This window comes from Homo sapiens, chromosome 13 (assembly GCF_000001405.40).
Source record: "Homo sapiens chromosome 13, GRCh38.p14 Primary Assembly".
In the NCBI taxonomy this organism is placed as follows: domain Eukaryota; kingdom Metazoa; phylum Chordata; class Mammalia; order Primates; family Hominidae; genus Homo; species Homo sapiens.
Window position 1 is genome coordinate 101057625 of NC_000013.11, and position 19348 is coordinate 101076972.

The 19348-nt window shown below is 42.3% G+C and overlaps 1 protein-coding gene and 2 long non-coding RNA genes across 12 annotated transcripts in view, besides 2 other annotated features; 2 read left to right on the forward strand and 1 right to left on the reverse strand.

Annotated features, from left to right (window-relative positions):
• NALCN-AS1 (NALCN antisense RNA 1) overlaps positions 1-1662 on the forward strand; it is a 350962-nt gene extending 349300 nt beyond the window's left edge. The window contains exon 8 of the long non-coding RNA NR_047687.1: positions 70-1662. This is a non-coding gene — a long non-coding RNA (NALCN antisense RNA 1). The remainder of the gene's footprint in view (positions 1-69) is intronic.
• The window catches only part of NALCN (sodium leak channel, non-selective), a 363404-nt gene that overhangs the window by 3849 nt on the left and 340207 nt on the right, over positions 1-19348 (reverse strand). For all 10 annotated transcript variants that reach the window (XM_011521069.3, XM_011521067.3, XM_024449336.2 and 7 more), the window contains 9 exons: positions 18249-18317; positions 16890-17038; positions 15960-16053; positions 11071-11203; positions 10294-10409; positions 7780-7937; positions 4344-4494; positions 2194-2343; positions 315-432 (listed from right to left, as the gene is read on the reverse strand). In XM_011521069.3, coding sequence (XP_011519371.1) covers positions 315-432; positions 2194-2343; positions 4344-4494; positions 7780-7937; positions 10294-10409; positions 11071-11203; positions 15960-16053; positions 16890-17038; positions 18249-18317 — 1138 coding nt within the window. The remainder of the gene's footprint in view (positions 1-314; positions 433-2193; positions 2344-4343; positions 4495-7779; positions 7938-10293; positions 10410-11070; positions 11204-15959; positions 16054-16889; positions 17039-18248; positions 18318-19348) is intronic.
• Positions 5088-10064, forward strand: LOC124903202 (uncharacterized). The gene is made up of 3 exons (XR_007063855.1): positions 5088-5122; positions 6117-6195; positions 9985-10064. It is a non-coding gene; the product is annotated as an uncharacterized LOC124903202 (long non-coding RNA).
• Positions 7170-7670: an enhancer, noted in NCBI's record as "H3K4me1 hESC enhancer chr13:101717146-101717646 (GRCh37/hg19 assembly coordinates)". NCBI's record gives its function as "activates a minimal SCP1, AML or CMV promoter by ChIP-STARR-seq in naive H9 embryonic stem cells {active_cell/tissue: H9 hESC(naive)}" and the evidence as "EXISTENCE:reporter gene assay evidence [ECO:0000049][PMID:30033119]".
• Positions 7671-8171: an enhancer, noted in NCBI's record as "H3K4me1 hESC enhancer chr13:101717647-101718147 (GRCh37/hg19 assembly coordinates)". NCBI's record gives its function as "activates a minimal SCP1, AML or CMV promoter by ChIP-STARR-seq in naive H9 embryonic stem cells {active_cell/tissue: H9 hESC(naive)}" and the evidence as "EXISTENCE:reporter gene assay evidence [ECO:0000049][PMID:30033119]".

Genomic DNA, 19348 nt, shown 5'->3' on the forward strand with positions numbered 1-19348 from the left:
GCATGCCTTGAGGCACACAGAAAGCCCTTGGAAATTTCTCCCTCTTGCTGAATCTTGTCTTTTTCATAGGTGCTGGCTTCTCAACCATGATAGCCTGAAATGTACCCGGAAAATGGGGGCTAATGTAAGTCATATTTAGAGAAGTTATTTTGGGGGACAATGTTTTTGACAAGACTACATTTTTCATTATGTTGCTGTCTGTAAACAACTGTAGATGCAGACTTGCATTTTGAAAGGCAAGACCCAAAACACACAAACAGAGTAAATACCTTTAAAATGCCTCGATCGCTGGAGAAATGCCTGGATGGACCTACCTGAGGGCAGACGCCACTGCCCAAATTTCCTCTGGGGTTTCCCTGCGTCGGCTGCATCTTGCCGACTTCCTCCTCGATCCGACAGCGTGGGGCTCAGGAGCTGCTGCTGGCTGCTTGTCTGCATGGGAGGAGAAGCACACAGTTACCGTCTTTTTAACCCTGCGCTCTCCTCCTTTTACTATAAGAAAGGAAAACACATGGCAGGAGGACAAGTGGGAAGAACAACATGGACTCAGAGTGTCCACAATGGGGAAAAGTGAAAATGGGTATAAAGGGTCACAGAAGAAAAAGAGCCACCACTGCACGCCCTGCTGAAGGAGACACCACTCTTCCTGGGACATCTTGTCCTGGGTAACCCCCACTGCTTCGTTCCCCTCCATGCCTGAGAATGTCATTGTTTCCCTTCATATCTTCGCTGGCAAACCAGGGGGTAAGGAAGGGGAACTGCAGGAAGGAAGGTGGGGCAGTGGGGACGGGCTGGGCGGGGGCAGTCTACTGTCACCAGCCTGGAGATCCACACTTAGAGCTTCAGGGAAAGAGTTCTCTGCAGGCAAAGCTGTATGATGGGCCCTGGTGGAGGATGGAGCTGATAACAATCTAAGCTACAGTGAAAGAAAGAGAGATGCCAAGACTTCCCACACATTTCACCTGTTCTCAGGTTCACCTGTCACCTCTCCCTTTCCTAACAAAAGCCTTGGTCTTCACATCTCTTTAGTATCCTTTTTTTTTTTTTTTTGTCACCTCTTTCTTTCTTAGGCTTTTTCATCTAAAAACAGAGGGCTCTGAAATCATCACTTTCCCCAACCTCATTAGCCCTGTCTCACTGTCTGTCCTGACTTCAGCCTGCCTCCCTCTCCCATGCGAGACATTGCCAACCATCTTCAGGGTGACCAGTGGCAAGGCCACTGCAGATGCCTCCCCTTGCCCCTTGGTTGACTAACTCCGCAGAAGTCCCTGCAGTCGGTGGCAGATGATTTCTAAAGGCTGGGGAGCCCAAAACATGAGATCTACTGAAAACTGAGCTATGGCACCAGTGGGCCTCCTGGAGCACCCTGCTGGGCCGTGGAGCCTTAGGCTTCCAAAGGTACTCTGGCCCCTGGCTGCGTTGCTGCACACCATGGAGCCTGGTGCTGCTGGGGGCTCTGCACAGAGCACGGGATCAGCTCCACGTTGTTAACCTCAAATCGTAATTGCTGCCTCATAAAGGGGCAGGTCCTCCCAGCCAGCTGCTTCTCACAGCACAGGACTCTCCAGGACGCTGATAACTCCTTGTACTTTTTTATATAGACACATACATAGAGTTTGAAAATGAAAATATGCTGTGACTTAATAAATAGAAACTCCTCAAGCCAATTGTCCTGAATTCCATATGTTCTTCTGATACCCAACCAGGAAAGGATATATCTTCAATGAGTCTGATTATTTAAGGAGGTTGAAAGCTAATTACAAACATTTTCACTGATTTTACTGCAAATTTCTATGACTTTAGAGAAGGGAGGAAAATATTTAGGGCAGAGCTTCCTGTAAACCATACTCCATGTAATATACCCAGATTCAAATGCAGCCCTTAGAGCTGATGTTAACTCTTTAGACAAAAATAAAACTACAGAATTATGAAGTTCAGGGCATTCACTTTTTTTGGCATTCATATGAGTCAGACTCTTTTTAAATAACCTCAACTGCATCCAAGATGGCAAAGACATAGACATAATCTGGATCAATGGATTTCCGTTGCCTTTTTTTTTTTTAATGAAAATATTCCTATTAGAAATATTGTCACCTTGTTTGAATGATCTGACCAGCACCCATTTTATTTATTTTTATTAAAAGAAAGAAGCCCACAGAGTGTCCTGGGACAGAGGACGCCTCGTGCCCATACCTCAGGTTGCATGCTGTTGTCCTGACTGTTGGCATTCGTGTCCTCACTGGGCTGGGTGGTCTCGATGCTGGGCGGGTTCAGAAACCGGCTCAGCTCTTGCTGCTGACTCTCTCTCAGGCTGTGGATGATACTGCACGACTGCTGCTGTTTCTATGGAAATGCGATTGTTTGTTCAGTAAAATAAGCCCAGCATCCTGCCTGCCCCACCGCCACACAAATCTTATTTTCTTCTCCCCTCTCCTAAGACCTGCATGACGGGTGACCTCTTAGGAATTTCCAAGTAAGGATCCTGAACTAATTTCAATGTTCAATTAAGGTAGGCTGATGCAAAGGTGGGCTTAGAGAGGTATGCATTGACTTCCCAGTCCATTTTCATTTGTGTAACAATCAGAATAGTGACGGTCATTGATGCTTGTATTTTATTTATTTGTTTTTCTTTTTGTTGTTGGTGTTTTCTGTTTTTTTTTTTTTTTTTTTAGATAGGATCTCACTATGTCCCGTAGACTAGAGTTCAGTGGTGCGATTATTATAGCTCACTGTAACCTTAAACTCCTAGGCTCAAGCTATGCTCCTGCCTCAGCCTCCTGAGAAGCTGAGACTAAAAGTGTGCATGACTGTGGCTGGCTAATTAATTTTTTTTTTTTTTTTTTTTTTTCAGAGAGGAGGTCTCACTCTGTTGCCCAAGCTAGTTTCAAACTTCTGGTCTTAAGCGATCCTCCCGCCTCAGTTTCCCAATGTGCTGGGATTACAGGCATGAGACACTGTGCCCAGCTTATGTCTTATTTAAAATTACTAATGTGGCTATTCTATTTTTTCTCCTCTTATTTTATTCTAGGCTCATTAAGCCAATACAATCCCAACCCCTTTCCCACTTTCCTGCAAGTTGTAAGAGGCAAAGAGCCTTGGGTGGATGAGAAAACCTTTGTGCTTGTCTTGGTTCTGAAGTTTTCAGGTCAATCCAGGAGACCAATCTGTCTCGGCATATACTAAAGCCAGGACTCCTTGTGCCCTCTCAGAGCCAGAGGAGGACAGATTGATCCCTGGAGCTAACATAGCTACAGTGGCCAGCAGTGATGGGACATCACTGGGCAGCTGGCCTTGCTATAGGAGGTTGAGTTGTATCTTTTCTCTGGGAACCTTTTCTCCTCCAATAGAAATACATGTGTCTGCAATTGACGTTGTTGCTCTGAGGAAGAGGATTGAAACAATCTCTGTTATATATAAATGTTTAGTGATTGCTTTGGGTTTTTTCCCTGTCTGTGAAACATGCCAAAAGCATTCATAAAAGTAATTATCTCATAGAAACATTCACTGTAAATACAGTATATGTCAATGCAGTATACATTCATTAATTTATGAGTTAGAGAATCTTATAGGCTTATAAGTCAGGAAGCAGGAAACATCATTAATCTTGAGAGGTGGTCTTTTCAGAATAAATGACATTATCACAGTTTGTTGAAATTTTTAGCAGCAATTTAAAGTAGTTTTGCAAATTCAATATGTGGAAAATTCTAGAATTTTGAACAGTTGAGTTTAATAAATGGACATCATATTTTAATATCAATAAACTTTTTTTTTTTTTGAGACAGATTCTCACTGTGTCACCCAGGCTGGAGTGCAGTGGCATGATCTCAGCTCACTGCAACTTCTACCTCCCAGGTTCAAGTGATTCTCATGCCTCAGCCTCCTGAGTAGCTGGGACTACAGGCATGTGTGCCACGCCTGGTTAATTTTTGTATTTTTAGTAGAGATGGGGTTTTGCCATGTTGGCAGGCTGGTCTCCAACTCCTGGCCTCAAGTGAGTTGAGCTCCCCCCTTGACCTCTCATAGTGCTGGGATTACAGGCATGAGCCACCACACCTGGCCAATAAACTGCTTTTTAAGTCTTCATGTCATATTATAAAAATGGGATTCCATGGAAACTCCTAATGGACTCTGCTAAAGAGGGCAGGGCTGACTGTGGACTAGAGTGAAAGTCTGCATCATGATCTGACCACTGTAAGTGGAGGTAGTGGACATAGTTTAAAGGGATAGAAGGCTGATCACAGAAGGAGCTAATCCCATGTTCACGAAGCTCTTTTCTTTCATCCTCCTGCGGGGCAGGGCGGGGCGGGGCGGGGACCCAACCTGCATGTGTGCAGTTCACTCACAGCTCTGATGCGCTTCAGGCACTTCTTGAGCCACATGCGGATGGTCTGCTTGGCCACCTCCTCCTCTATGGTGTACTCCAGCTGCTCCCTCGCCAGGAGTTCCTCCAGCTGCAAGCTCTTCCGGATGTCCACGGACCGGTATGAAAGCATGCTGGTGGGAGAAACACACCTGCAATCGCAGCTCTGATTCACCTGAGATTTACACCCTTAGATACGTCAAAATCCAGAGAGGACATCACTCAGTCTAATAAGTCTAGTGTTTTGACGCCACCCCTCGCCACCCGCATGTCTTGGGCTGGTCCTGTCACCTCTCTGTGTCTCCCTTCCCTCGTCTGTAAAACAAAGATGATAGATAGTCCTGGTAACTCCTTTATTTAATGACTAAGTGAGTTAATATCTGTGAGGCTCTTATAGTAGTAAGTGCCATCTAAGTGCCTGTAAAGCAAAAGATCCAGGCTAGGAAAAGGCTCGCGACTTTCTCTGCAGAAGGAAGACCGCACCTCCCATACTTTCTTCACACTTAGCCCCCCGAGGTGATGGTTAATATGCTCGGCTGTGCGTCACACATCCCTACTCCCTGCATCCCACTTCCCTCTCTGTTTCTCTCATTCATCCTTCTGTATCTTCCTTATTAATTAATTTTTTCTTTTTTTGAGATGGAGCTTCACTCTTGTTGACCAGGCTGGAGTGTAATGGCGTGCTGTCAGCTCACTGCAACCTCCGCCTCCTGGGTTCAAGCATTTCTTCTGCCTCAGCCTCCCAAGTAGCTGGGATTACAGGTGTGTGCCACCACGCCCAGCTAGTTTTGTATTTTTAGTAGAGACGAGTTTTCACCATGTTGGTCAAACTGGTCTTAAACTCCTAACCTCAAATGATCCACCTGCCTCAGCCTCCCAAAGAGCTGGGATTACAGGTGTGAGCCACCATGCCTGGTCTTCCTTATTAATTTCAGAGGCTACCAAACAAACCCAGGGTTGAATATCCACTCCCATTTAACCCTTGACACACAGCAGGCCCATGCAGTTGTAGGTAAAGCCAACACAGCATTACAGTTCATGGGGCAATAAGGCAGCTCCCAGGATGCCTGGACTGAGCAGTCCACCACCAGAGGAGAAGACAGCCCCTCTTGGCAGTGTGATGCACCCAGGTGTAGCCACAGGATTCCAGGTTATGGCTCAGACCCATGCACCCTGGTGCACCTGTGAGCTACCCACTTCTGTGAGCTCAGTTCCATCCTAGAGCCCAAATCACAGCCTGGAGGCTCTTGAGAGCACTGGTACATTGGGCTTCTCTTTGCTAAATCTCTTCCCACCACAGAGGGAAAAAAAATGAATTTTCTCTTCCTCTCTTCCCTGACTCATCAAGAATCCCATCAAAGCTTCATTGCTTTTATCTTCACTGTTTGTTTTTATCATATACTGGGCTAGGGGAATAAATAGGAAGGGGAGAGACAGCCCCATCACAGATTTTGCCTGGGTCTATTTTTATTAGATACATCGGTGTGTTCCAAAGAGGCTGAATATTAATTATTAATGACAACAGTATGCCTATCTGCCTCATGTCAACCAAAAAAATTTGCCACTAGGAGGAAAGACTCAGAAACATTCTGACAGAGATGACCTCCTTTGTGATTCACATGCATTTCTCCGTCCCATGTTTTTCTGCTTTTTAGCTTGTTGGTGGAAGAACTGGATAGTGGGAGGTGAAATTGATAACTTGAGAGAACTTTTCCCAGATTCTTCCTGTGCTGATCTGATCCTTTTTTTTTTTCAGCTTCTGGCCACAAGCATATTTCTGTACACCTGAGTTCTCCTGAAATTTGAGACACAACACAATATCCCACACACTCCTTGTAGGTACTGCTATGTGATTAAAATAGCTACTGCTAGTCAGTCGCTCTTATTTTTTTCTGTGGCATGGACCCCTGTGGCAGTGGAGCTTATGGGACATTTCTTGAAATAATGCTTTAAATGCACGGAATGAAATACACCGTATTACAAAGGAAACCAATTATATTAAAATACAATTCTCAAATTTACTTTAAAACGGCAGTGATAAAGTAACATAAGTAAGTGCTTCCTTTATTATTCCATTAAATAATACCATCTAGCAGAGCTCAAATGACTACCATAACTCAGAAGCACTGGTGAGCATAAATGATATTTTAAGATGTCAGTCAAGGCAGTCAGTTATGTCATCTGAAAATATCTATGATTTCTCCTGGTAACAAAGACATGGATATTGCTAATGCGACTGTGGTTTGTTGCCTACGTTCATCATGGAAGAGAATGACACATTTCAAAGAGTGATTAGTGAAAATAAAGATGTAATTGTTTCCCCCTTGCAAGTCCATGGGCCTCTGTTTTATCCATGGACTCCTGCTTAAGAAGCTGTTATGGGTTAAATGTTTCCTCCCAAAAAAAGATATGTTGGAGTCCTAACCTCTAGTACCTCAGAACGTAAGGTTATTTGGAAATAGAACATTGCAGATGTAATTAGTAATTAAGTTAAAATGAGATCACAGTGGAGTAGAATGGACTCCTAATGTAATACGACAGATGTTCTTATAAAAGGAGGAATTTGAACATAGATACACACACACACACACACACACACACAAACAGAATGCCATGTGAAGATGAAGGGAGACCAAGCTGATGCTTCTACAAGCCAAGGAATGACCAACATTGGCAGCGCACCTCCAGCAGCCAGGGGAGAGGCTAGGCTAGATTCTCCCTCACAGGCCTCAGAAGGAATCAGCCCCGCAATACCTCCATCTCGGGCTTCCAGCATCCAGGACTTCGAGACCATACCTTTCTGTTGTTTAAATCCCTCAGCTTAAGGTGCTAAGTTACAGTAGCCCAAGGAAACAAATACAGAAGTCTCCCAGGAAGAAGAAAAGGCAGAGACTCCATTTGACCCTCTGTCCTGTCTGGGCGCTCATGAAATGTCTGGAAAATCTGGTGTTTTAGCCAACGGGGCAACCATCACAGAGCAGGCCAGGCAAATTCTCATCAGACCCATGCAAGTGAGGTGCTCTGCATGTTAGTCCCAGCTTTGCCAGAGCCCTGTAACCGCAAGCAAGTCACTCAGCTCTTCTGGGCAGTTCCCGCATCACAGGGAAGGGGTGGGACTGTGCTCTCCCAGATCCCTTCCACCTCTCCCCTCGGGGTGCACCTCAGTGGGCAGGGGTCCCTACGGGACATCAGGGCACAGCCGCCCAGCCCTCCCCTGCGAGGCACCTACTTGGAAATGTTCACTGGAGGACGGCAGGAAAGGGCACTTAGCGCCTGGGACATGTGACCCCACTTCACGACCACAGCAGATGTGGCATTTTGGGTTGGAAACACACTTGTTAATTGTACTGCAGAGGCCTTGAAGGCTGACAGCTGTGGTTTCTGGCCCCCATTCAGCCCTGCGAAAGCCTGCCTTGTACCTCAGGACATCATGGAAGGTGACGTCGCCGCCATTGTGGAGCCTCTCCATTTCGTAGCACATGTGCTTAAACAGGAGCTTGTCCTTGTCCAGGTCCACCTCCAGCCTCCCACGCAGTAGCCGCAGCAGGAACTTGACGCGGAACGTGGGGATCACCCCCTGCGGGGCAGAGCACAAGAAGTAGCAAATCATCAGGCCTCGATGATTCACTTGGGTTTCTCAAAAGAAAAAAAAAAAGGTGCTATTTCTCAAAAGCTAGCATAATTAGCACCAGATGTGAAGAAAGCTGGTCACCTCCTTGGAGCCTGGTAGAATTAAGTGCACTAAGAAGAGCAGAGGATAGAAAACTGAGTGATAAATTTCTGCTGGTGCTTCTCTTTCTGGGATGTCACCACATTGCAGCATTTGGAGTGAGGCATGGGAAGCTCCCCTTCAGCCCCCCAGGACCCTACTCTTGCTCTCACCAGGCTGATGCTTGCATAGCCTGTCCCACAGACGCCACCTCCAACACATGCACTGAGTGGGCCATAATGTACTCACACAAGGTAATGGACAAGACACACACGTGTAATCCTCCTCTTCACTCAATCGGGATGCTAGGAACGTCTCAATGTTTATTACATGTTTTTCTACCATTAAAAGATAACTCGTGTTGGATCATGCCTGTAATCTCAGCACTTTGGGAGGCCGAGGCGGGTGGATCACCTGAGGTCAGGAGTTCGAGACCAGCCTGGCCAGCATGATGAAGCCCAGTCTCTACTAAAAATAAAAAAATTACCCGGACATAGTGGTACATGCCTGTAGTCCCAGCTATTTGGGAGGCTGAGGCTGGGGAATCACTTGAACCCAGGAAGCAGAGGTTGCACCACTGCATTCCAGCCTGGAGACAGAGTGGGACTCCATCTCAAAAAAAAAAAAAAAAGAGCTAACTAACTCCTTTTCATGTCTTCTTCAGGATTAGAAAAACTATATACAAGAGAATTAGGCCTTCAGCTCTGCCCTCTTCTGGGGTCAGAACTGATCCAGACACTGAGAATCTAAGATGTGTTGCTACCTTCCATGCAACACAAACCACCATGCCCCCTGGCTGTATCTTTGAATGAAAGTGCTGGGCGGAACACTGGCGACCATGACTGCCTGCCAGTTACTGACATCTCGGTGTGCAGGGCAGTGGGTCTTCATGTGTGTATTGCATGAAAGCAGGTTCCCGTGGGTGACAGTTACAGAGAGACAGGTGGATCCTGAGGAGCTGAGAGTGAGCTCAGATGCCCTGCACGCAGGGCTCTCACTACCTTGAAAGGAAAGCCCTCAAGACTGAAGCCTGGGCGGGCAGGGGTACCAAGAAGAGGGAGCAAATTGGGGTGAGTGCACTGCCGGAGCCCCTCATTTATGATGCCCAGGCTGGCTTCTTGGTCTTTGTGCCCTTCATCAACTCTTCTTGAACTATTTCCAGATCTCGCCCCAAATACCCTGGCAGAACTTTCCTTGTTGTTCAGACATGAGGTCCCACAGCACCCCTCAGGCCTCCTTCATGGTCATTCCTGCCGGCGCAGCCCCAACCCCAACTACTGTCTATAGTTTTAACTTCTGGAAATACTGCACTATTTATTATTATTTCACTTTTTATTATTTGTCTCCACCTATTAGACTGTAAGCTCTGTGAGTACAGGAGCTGTTCCATCTTGTTCACTGCTATATCCTCAGTGCCTAGAACTGTGCCTGAGTGTTTGCTTGGATGAGGAAGAGAGAAGAGGAGAGGGAGGAAGAACAGGAGGAAGTGGAGAAGGAGGAGGTGGGGGAGGAGAAGGTAGAGGAAGGGGTAGAGGAGGAGGAGGTAGGGGGGAAGATGAGGTGGAAGAGGAGGTGGACGAGGAGGAGGGGGAAGAGGAGGGGGAAGAGGAGGGGGAAGAGGAGGGGGAAGAGGAGGGGGAAGAAGAGGGGGTAGAGGAGGAGGAGTAGGAGGAAGGGAAGGAGGTGGAGGTTGATGACGACAATGACAAGAAGAGGAAGAGCAGACTGCAGCTACTTTGGCTAATTTTAAGAAACCTTGGGTAAACTTTATGGTTAAAACATTCAAGTAGTAACTCAAAAATAATCCAATACACACCTTCAGATGCCACTTAAATAACTCCTTTGTACTTTTAATTGGGATTGCTGCTTGAGTTTGAGGTGATCATGAATTTGTAATATACTGTCCCTTTGGTAGTTTCAGTGTCACCTCTTTTTCTGGCCTGAGCCCAAGGCTGATTCCTACAGAGTCCCTTTGGCTTCCTTTCCCTGCTGGCCTTCGGAAAGTCTGAAGAAGAGGATGTTCATGGTTGAAGATCATGTAAGGAGGAACGATGCTGTCTCCCTTCCTAGAGGATTCTGCTGAACTGTAAATGATGGCTTTCTGCAATTCACCATTTAAAAATTCAATCTGTGTCATTTGCCAACCTGAAAACCATTTAAGTGTTTGAGACATGTTGATAAGTCTCTTTGAGGTGAGGCATGAAACAACAACCCACTCCCATACCTCTCTTTTATCATCCACCATGTTCCATATTATTTGAAAGTGGCGAAGATCATTGTAACTTAAAAGCTGGTCCTCCTCAGTGGAATAAAACAAGGAGAAATTCTCCACAATTATGGCTTTTAAAAAAAGAAAAATTCAGAAGTTAGACCATTATGCTAATCTGTCATATTTTAGAAAGAGTAAAACATCTATTATTAATAATGGATTCTATCACCTATATCATAAGCCAAATTTTTAAAGTGCTTTTAGTATGGTTTCCAAATTGGCATGTTTACACTTGGACTAAGCTATTTCTCCAGCTCCTGCCTTTCCAAAACATGAGGGTCGTAAGCACAAACACACATTCTGTGTATAGAGATAGTCATGCCAGCTGGCTTTAACTCTTAGTTGAGAGTTCCAGGGCCATTTTTAAAGGTCAAATTGAGTTCTGGGTGGGCCCACATCTGGGTAAATAAGGTGTACCTTTCAAAAACATAAATGTGATATTTCAAGGCTAGAAAGATAGTCCTCTCTGATATTTGTTCAACTCAATCCATGAGAAGAGCCCTTTTGAAATTAATGATCATAATAAATGCTACAACTCTTAAAATTGCAGTCAACTGTCATTTACGTGCCTTTCAAAGGTCTTTTCAGCTTCTGGATTGAGAGACAACAATTTATAATTAATGCCATGAAACACCCACCCCAAGAAATCCAGGGTAATTGCTTGAAAATAATACATAATTATCTAAGTACCTGAGTTTAAAGAGTAAAAAGTATTCAACTAACATCACTTACCTACAAGCAGATTTAGCATGATGTAGGCAATGATGACATAAAATGAACAGAAATACATAAGTGCCCCAGCATAATTTCCACAGTCTGTTGCCCAGTATGTAAATTCATCTGGAGTACAAAACGGAGGCTGAACCTTTGGGGCATTGGGGTGGAAGAAGGAGAGGATAAGAGTAGAGAATACAAATTTCTTTTAGCTGACTATAGTTAATGAATAGATTCCTAAACATATAGCATATAATTAACTTCAAAGTAAGCTTTCAAAAGCCACATACATTGGGTACATCATCTGTAGCAGAAATAAAGAAGAATATTTCACTTATGCTATGCTGTTATCTTGTAGAATCCCAAGGTTATTGCCATTTTTAAAAGCACAATGAAAATGAACTGATCTCCACTAGATATTCTTTCTGCCACCACCACCAGCCCCAAGTGATAAGTAGCCACTGTGATCAAACTGCAGAAAATCAAATAAAAAGACATTTGCAAGTTTTTCTCTGACTGAAGTAATGGGTTAAGATTTGGGAATATAGACTCTACAGGTATACCTCGGAGACATTGCAGTTTCAGTTCCAGACTGCTGTGATAAAGTGAATATTGCAATAAAGTCCTATGCATGTTTTGGTTTCCCAGTGCACATGCAACTCATGTTTATACCATACTGTGGCTTATTAAGTGCACAATGGCATTATGTCCAAAAAGGTACAGACCTTAATAAAAAGTACTTTTATTGCTAAGAAAAGCTAACAATCATGTGAGCCTTCAGTGAGTTGTAATCTTCTGCTGGTGGTGGAGGGTCTTGCCTCAATGTTGACAGCTGCTGACTGAGCAGGGTGGTGGCTGCTGAAGGTTGGGGTGGCTGTGGCGATTTCTTAAAACAAGTCAACATGGAAGTTTATCATATCAATTGACTCTTCCTTTCATGAAAGATTTTTCTGCAGCATGTGATGCTGTTTGCTAGCATTTTACCCACAATAGAACTTCTTTCGAATTTGGAGTCAACCCTCTCAAACCCTGCTGCTGGTTTATCGAGTAATTTTATGTAACATTATAAATCCTTTGTTGTCATTATGACTATGTTCATAGCATCTTCTGCAAGAGTAGATTCCATTTCAAGAAACCACTCTGATCATCCATAAGGAGCAATCTTCATTCCTTCAAGTTTGATCAGGAGACTGCAGCAATTCAGTCGCGTCTTCAGGTTCCATTTCTAATTCTAGTTCTCTTGCTATTTCTACCAACCACATGTGCAGCGACCTCCTTCACTGAAGTCTTGAACCCCTCAAAGTCATCCATAATGGCTGGAATCAACTTCTTCCAAATTCCTGTTAATGTTGATGATATTTTGACCTCCTTCCATGAATCATGAATGTTTTTTTTTTTTTTTTTTTTTGAGACGGAGTCTCACTCTGTCGCCCAGGCTGGAGTGCAGTGGTGCAATCTCCGCTCACTGCAAGCTCCGCCTCCTGGGCTTACGCCATTCTCCTGCCTCAGCCTCCCGAGTAGCTGAGTCTACAGGCGCCCACCACCATGCCCGGCTAATTTTTTGTATCTTTAGTACAGACAAGGTTTCACCATGTTAGCCAGGATGGTCTCGATCTCCTGACCTCGTGATCCACCCGCCTTGACCTCCCAAAGTGCTAGGATTACAGGCGTGAGCCACTGCGCCTGGCCATGAATGTTCTTAATGGCATGTAGAATAGTGAATCCTTTCCAGAAGGTTTTCAATATACTTTGCCCAGATCCATCAGAGCAATCACTATCTATGGCAGCTATTAGCCTTATGAAATCTATTTCTGAAATAATAAGACTTGAAAGTTGAAATGACTTCTTGATCCATGGACAGAATGGATGTTGTGTTAGCAGGCATGAAAACAATGTTAATCTCCTTATACATCTCCTGATACAGCTCTTGGGTGACCAGGTAGATGCATTGTTAATGAGCAGTACTACTTTGAAAGCAATCTTTTTTTTCTGAGCAGTAGGTCTCAAGAGTGGGCTTAAATATCCAGCAAACCATGCTGCAAACAGCTATTCTGTCATCCAGGCTTTGTTGTTCCATTTATAGAGCACAGGCAGGGTAGATTTAGCATAATTCTTAAGAGACTGTATTAGTCCATTCTCACACTGCTAATAAAGACATACCTGAGACTGGGTAATTTATAAAGGAAAGAGATTTAATTGACTCACAGTTCAGCAGGGATTGGGAGGCCTCAGGAGATTTACAATCACGGCGGAAGGGGAAGCAAATATGTTCTTCTTCACATGGTGGCAGCAAGAAGTGCCAAGAAAATGGGGGGAAAAACCTCTTATAAAACCATCAGATCTCATGACGGCTATAGTGAGAACTCACTCAGTATCACAAGAACAGGATGGAAGAAACCACCCCCATGATTCAATTATCTCTGCCTGGTCCCTCCCACGACACATGGAGATTAAGGGAACTACAATTCAAGATGAGATTTGGGTGGGGACACAGTCAAACCATTGCAGGGTCCTAGGATTTTTGGAATGGTAAATGAGCATTGGCTTCCACTGAAAGTCACCAGCTGCATTAGTCCCTAACAACAGAGTAAGTCTGTTATTTGAAGCTTTGAATCCAGGCATTGACTTCTCCTTTCTAGCTATGAAAGTTCTAGAGGGCATCTTCTTCCAATAGAAGGCTGTTTTGTCTACATTGAAAATCCATTGTTTAGTGTAGCCACCTTAATTATTTGAGCTAGATCTTCTAGATAACTTGCCACAGCTTTTATATCAGCAGCACTTACACTTTCATATTATGGAGATGGCTTCTTTCTTTCCTTAAACATAATGAACCAACCTTTGCTAGCGTCAAACATTTTTTTCTACAGCGTCCTCACCTCTCTCACCCTTCATAAATTTGAAGAGAGTAAGGGCCTTCTTCTGCATTTGGCTTTAGCTTAAGGGCATGTTGTGGCTAGTCTGATCTTCTACTGAGACCGGTAAAATTTTTTCTCCATATCAGCCATAAGGCTATTTCTTATCAGTCATGTGTTCACTGGAGTAGCATTTTAATTCCCTTCAAGAACTTTTCCTTTGAATTTACAACTTGAGTAACTATTTGGTGCAAGGGACCTAGCTTTTGGGCTAACTCAGCTTTTGACATGCCTTCCTCCATAAGCTTAATCATTTCTAGCTTTTGATTTGAAGTGACTGATGTGTGAATCTTCTATTCACTTGAACACTTATAGGCCATTGTAGGGTTGTGAATCGGCCTAATGTCAATATTGTTGTGTCTCAGGACATAGGGAGGCCCAAGAAAAGAGAGAAGAGTTGGAGAAACAGATGTTCGGTGCAGCAATCAGAAGACATATGACATTTATCAATTAAATTCTCCATCTTATTGAGCATGGTTCATGGCACCCCTCAAAAAAAACTACAAAAGAAACATCAAAAGATCACTGATCACAGATCACCAAAACAGATAATAATGAAAAAGTCCGAAATAGTGAGAATTACCAAAATGTGATACAGAACCAGAAAGTGAGCAAACATGCTATTGGAAAAATGGCCCTGATAGACCTGCTCCACACAAGATTGCCATAAACCTTCAACTTGTAAAAATGCAATGTCTGCAAAAGGCAATAAGGGAAGCACAGTAAAACAAGATGTGCCTGCACATAGAAAATTCACATTCAAATTGTGTGAGGAGTAAGCCCCATTCTTGGAACACTGTTATGGGATGCTATGGAATAGCACAAGACTTAAGTCATCAAAAACTCTCTCATTGTTTACAGGCTCTATAAAATGCCGACACCTCTGAGAGAACTTTCTGGTTTTTCTCAGCCAGATAAACTAGCTCTCTCTTCTATAATCCCAGCATTCTGCTTGTATTTTTATTTAAGATTCATTAAATTTTGCCTTGTATTCTATTTGATTTGGCAAATTCTCCTTGTTAATTCATGCATGAAGTCCCAGCACTCCTACTGTGTGCTAGGTTTGTGCCAAGTTTGGGGAGAGACTGGTAAGAAAGACATAGGCGGCCCTATCTCTTCTTCCTACTGACAGTTGAGTGCTGTGCAGTCCAATATGGTGACCACTAGCTCCATGCAGCGATGTAAATTTAAATTTATGTTAATTAAAATGTAATAATATAAAATTAAAACTAAAATTCAGTTCCTCAGTTGTGTTAGCCACATTTTAAATGCTCCATAACCACATATGGCTAGTGGCTCCCGAATTGGACAGTGCAGATTTCCATCACTGCAGACATTTTTTAACACAGCATTGGTCTGTCCTACGGTGAGAAAGAGATAAAATAAATGAATGTAAGCCAGTAATTCACTACAGCTCCTTATTACAAAGGAGAACTATAGAGCAGCATAAGAACATGTAGCTGGCTGTCTTAGCTTAAGGCAAAAGACCTGTTTAAACTGAGACCAGAAGGATGATGCTTGGGGAAGACAGGATATAGTAAGAAGGAAGTATAAAGTATACTTTATAGTATAAAGGAAGAGTAACTCAGAGCCCTTGAGGTAAGCTCCTTGAGTGTGCCTTGGAGTTGTTGAAGACCTAGGGCCTAGCATATAGCTGAGGGGCAGTGAACTATCCACTGAACACATTAAATTAAAGGGCTTCCTGTTTGACTTTCATTACCAAAATATTAAAGATGGGAGGGAAAGAACAACACTCACAAAATGCATATTTGTTGAATGGAACTACAATAGCTCAAGTTGGGTTAATTGAGTATTTTGCCCTAAATATTCACACATTGGAATGTATAATAATGCAATTTTATGGACTGAAGTGTCAGGATTTATATTTCATACATAAAGTCTTAACGCTAACAAGGATGATCCTGCCAACATTGTGTTGCAAGAGTTTCATGCTGATTCTAAGTCTAAGCCTTGTTCATGATGAGAGATATTTACCATACAGTCATGCATAATCTTGTTCCAGTCTTCACCTGTGACAATTCGGAACAGTACGGTAATAGCTTTTCCAGCCGAAGAAAAATTTGCATGCCTAATTTAAGAAAAAAAAATTAACAGAATGTGAATTATAGAAGGGTTTGTCATGAAATAGCATGGTTTGCCAACACCAAAACAAGTGGAGGTTGTAGCAAATTTGGTTGCTAAGTCACCTTTTCCAAAGGTTATACCTTTTTATTAATTTGTCATTTATACTTGCCTCCAAGTATAGCCGTCTGAACACCCAACTCTAGCATGGCCACTAATTTATTACCATTCATCTTGAATGACTAAGTAGGCAGGCTTTGGCAACTAAGTGATTCCTTCTTTCACTTGGACGATGCTATAAAAGGTGGGGCAGCCATGTATCTAATTCCTACAACTTGACATATCGGTATATACTTTGTTGTATCAGGACTTGAAAAAAAATGATGCATCTATAAAACTTAGGCAAATCGTTGAAAACTGCTTTTCATATATTACAACCATTTGGGGGGCTCTAAATTCCCATATTTTGCTGAGAAAGAAACCCAGAGTTATCTTAAAATTGTTCCATCTAAAAATAATATATCATTTTTTGGCAATATGTAGATAGAAAAAGTGCTGGAATTAGGAGTGATGATTACTGAATGTTGGTGGAATTATAGATTCTTTTTGTTTTCTTTTATTTCTAATTTTTCTAAGGTTTTGAAAGTAGACCTTTTCAGTTGAATAACCTTTTTCAACTGGAAAAATATCATTTAAAACTTGGCTATTTTATTTTAATTTCCAACTGATTACTTCCCTTTCCCCTCTCCTAGACTTTAATAGACAAAAAACATTTGTTTATTTAAAATTTTATTACCAAAGGGTTTGCTTGATAAATGAATAGAAAGATAAGTATATACCAACCTGTTAATATTCTCCCCATATTTCACAGTACCAAATAAAACAACTCCAGCAAAAGCGTAACACAGCAGCAAGAGAAACATGCCTACTATGATAAAGAAGCTCTTGTACATGCTGACGACCACTGTCAAGAGGAGCATCTTTAGCGTTACCTGGGGACCAGGGGTGGGAAGCGGGGAGACAGAGAGAGAGAGAGAGAGAGACAGAGACAGAGAGAGAGAGAGAGAGAGAGAATATTCAATCTATTAAGCTATGGAAGACCTGGGTAGCAACTAATCTTTAAGCAGATTGGCTCAAAATCACTCTTAGGTGTATCATTTGAAAGTTGCTTTCTATAAGGTATTACATCAAAATATTCTTCAAAACCCACCAGGCGTTGGGCGAATTTTATTTTTACTTCAAACATTTCAGCCTCTTCACACAAATTAATAAGAGTAACACTAAGCATTTTCACCTTCCATTTTCTCTTCTGCTCCTCAATTCTCTATGATAAGGGCTACACATTTTTGACTGACAGCAAGTAAACTCAGGTTTCTTCCACAAACAGACTTTCACAAAAACAAACCTAAGCAATGGTATAATACTAAATAACTATCAAATATTAAGTATATTGGTTATGTGTATATATGGAATGTATATATGAAATAACGTTTGTAATAAAAAAGGAAACAGCATTGTAAAAAATGAAAAATATATGTGGAATATACCCATGGACATTAACAAATAATATTAAAAAATCTGGAATCTCATCCTGGCTAACGTGGTGAAACCCTGTCTCTACTAAAAATACAAAAATTAGCTGGGTGTGGTGGCACATGCCTGTAATCTCAGCTACTCGGGAGGCTGAGGCAGGAGAATCACTTGAACCTGGGAGGTGGAGAAAACAGTGAGCCGAGATCCTGCCACTGCACTCCAGCCTGGTGACAGAGCAAGACTCCATCTCAAAAAAAAAAAAAAAAAAAAAATCTGGAATCATGGAAACATAAAAATTCATTAAAGATTATTTTTCTTTGAAGTTACTTAACTTTATTGAAAATAAAAATAAAAATGCATTAAGAAAGAATATTGGTTTTTGTTTTCATGACTGGTTATCTTTAATTAATTAAATTAATAAATTTAAATAATTTACTTAATTATTGAATATAAAGAATAAGCAACATAAATGGCAGGAAACACATCGAATGATAACTAAGCTACTGATTCATTTAACAATGTTTAATATTTGTTAATCTTGACTTATGATGTCTAGTAATTTGTGATTACATCCCTAAATAACCGAGGTAAGGCTGTAATCAATTAATCACCATTCTTTCATTAACACATATATGACCTTTAAGATAAGATTCTTAACAATGTACTTACATGTTTTCCACAGATGGAGAAAAACCTAAATACAATCACACAAGCGCCCATCATGTAAGTATATGCATTCTGAAATTTAAACAGAAGACAGCTTCTCATAATTTGCACAAAAGATCTTGTTACAGTTCCATTTTTTAAGCCTTCTGTGAAGTATACTGAATAATTAGCTTAATATGTGTAAATTATTATAAGAAAGTGATCTAAAAAAGGTGCTGAAAAGGTCACTGCAAAAACTCATGAATAAATATTAGATTTAAAATTCAGTCTCAAATGAAACTTCGGGTTCTGTTTTGCTCAGCTAAATTCTGTATTTTGAAATTTATTTTACATAAAATGGTGACCAGCTCTTTTGCATACAGGGTGTGAAAAACACAGGATAACAGTGCAACATAGGAAGGTCAACTGACATAGGAGGTAAAGGAATCCTGGCAAAGAGAAAGGGCTGATGGTGGAAAAGATTGCCAGAAGTCAGATTCTAGACACCACTGAAGAACAAACATACACTCATTCCTCTAAGCTGATTTCAGAGAGGTCCTCCCTGCTCAGGAACACATCCAGCTCTTTTTTCAAGGGTGTGATTAGCAGGAAGAGATGACTGCACTTTATGAATAAGAAAGCTTCATTTGAGAAACAAAGATCCCACCAGCTATAACTGCAATAACAACCTTGACATTCAGCCGATGCCAGAGTGTGATTACTCTCAAGGAGGCTTGCCTAGCCAAATGATGACAGTCACAGATGGGCCCCGCGAAGGGGGTCCAGTGAGATCCTTGGTGAGGTCCAAGCACATGAATGTGTGCACATAGCATCCTTGGATGGGGAACTTTCCTTCCCAATAGTCCACTGCAAAATACGGTGGAGAATGAGCATCCTTCCAAGACCAAAGAGGTTCTTGGAGAAGAACAAAGGCAATTAGGCAGAAAAGGGAAGTTGGTCTTTGGGTTTAAGATTTCCTCTCTGAGGTTATCTGGGATTAGAGAGTCTACTTGACTTTTGCTTGGACTCAGTAGCTTTAGGTTGCATTTCGATATGGTTTGGCTATGTTCCCACCCAAACCTTATTTTGGATTGTAGTTCCCATAATCCCCATGTATCCTGGGA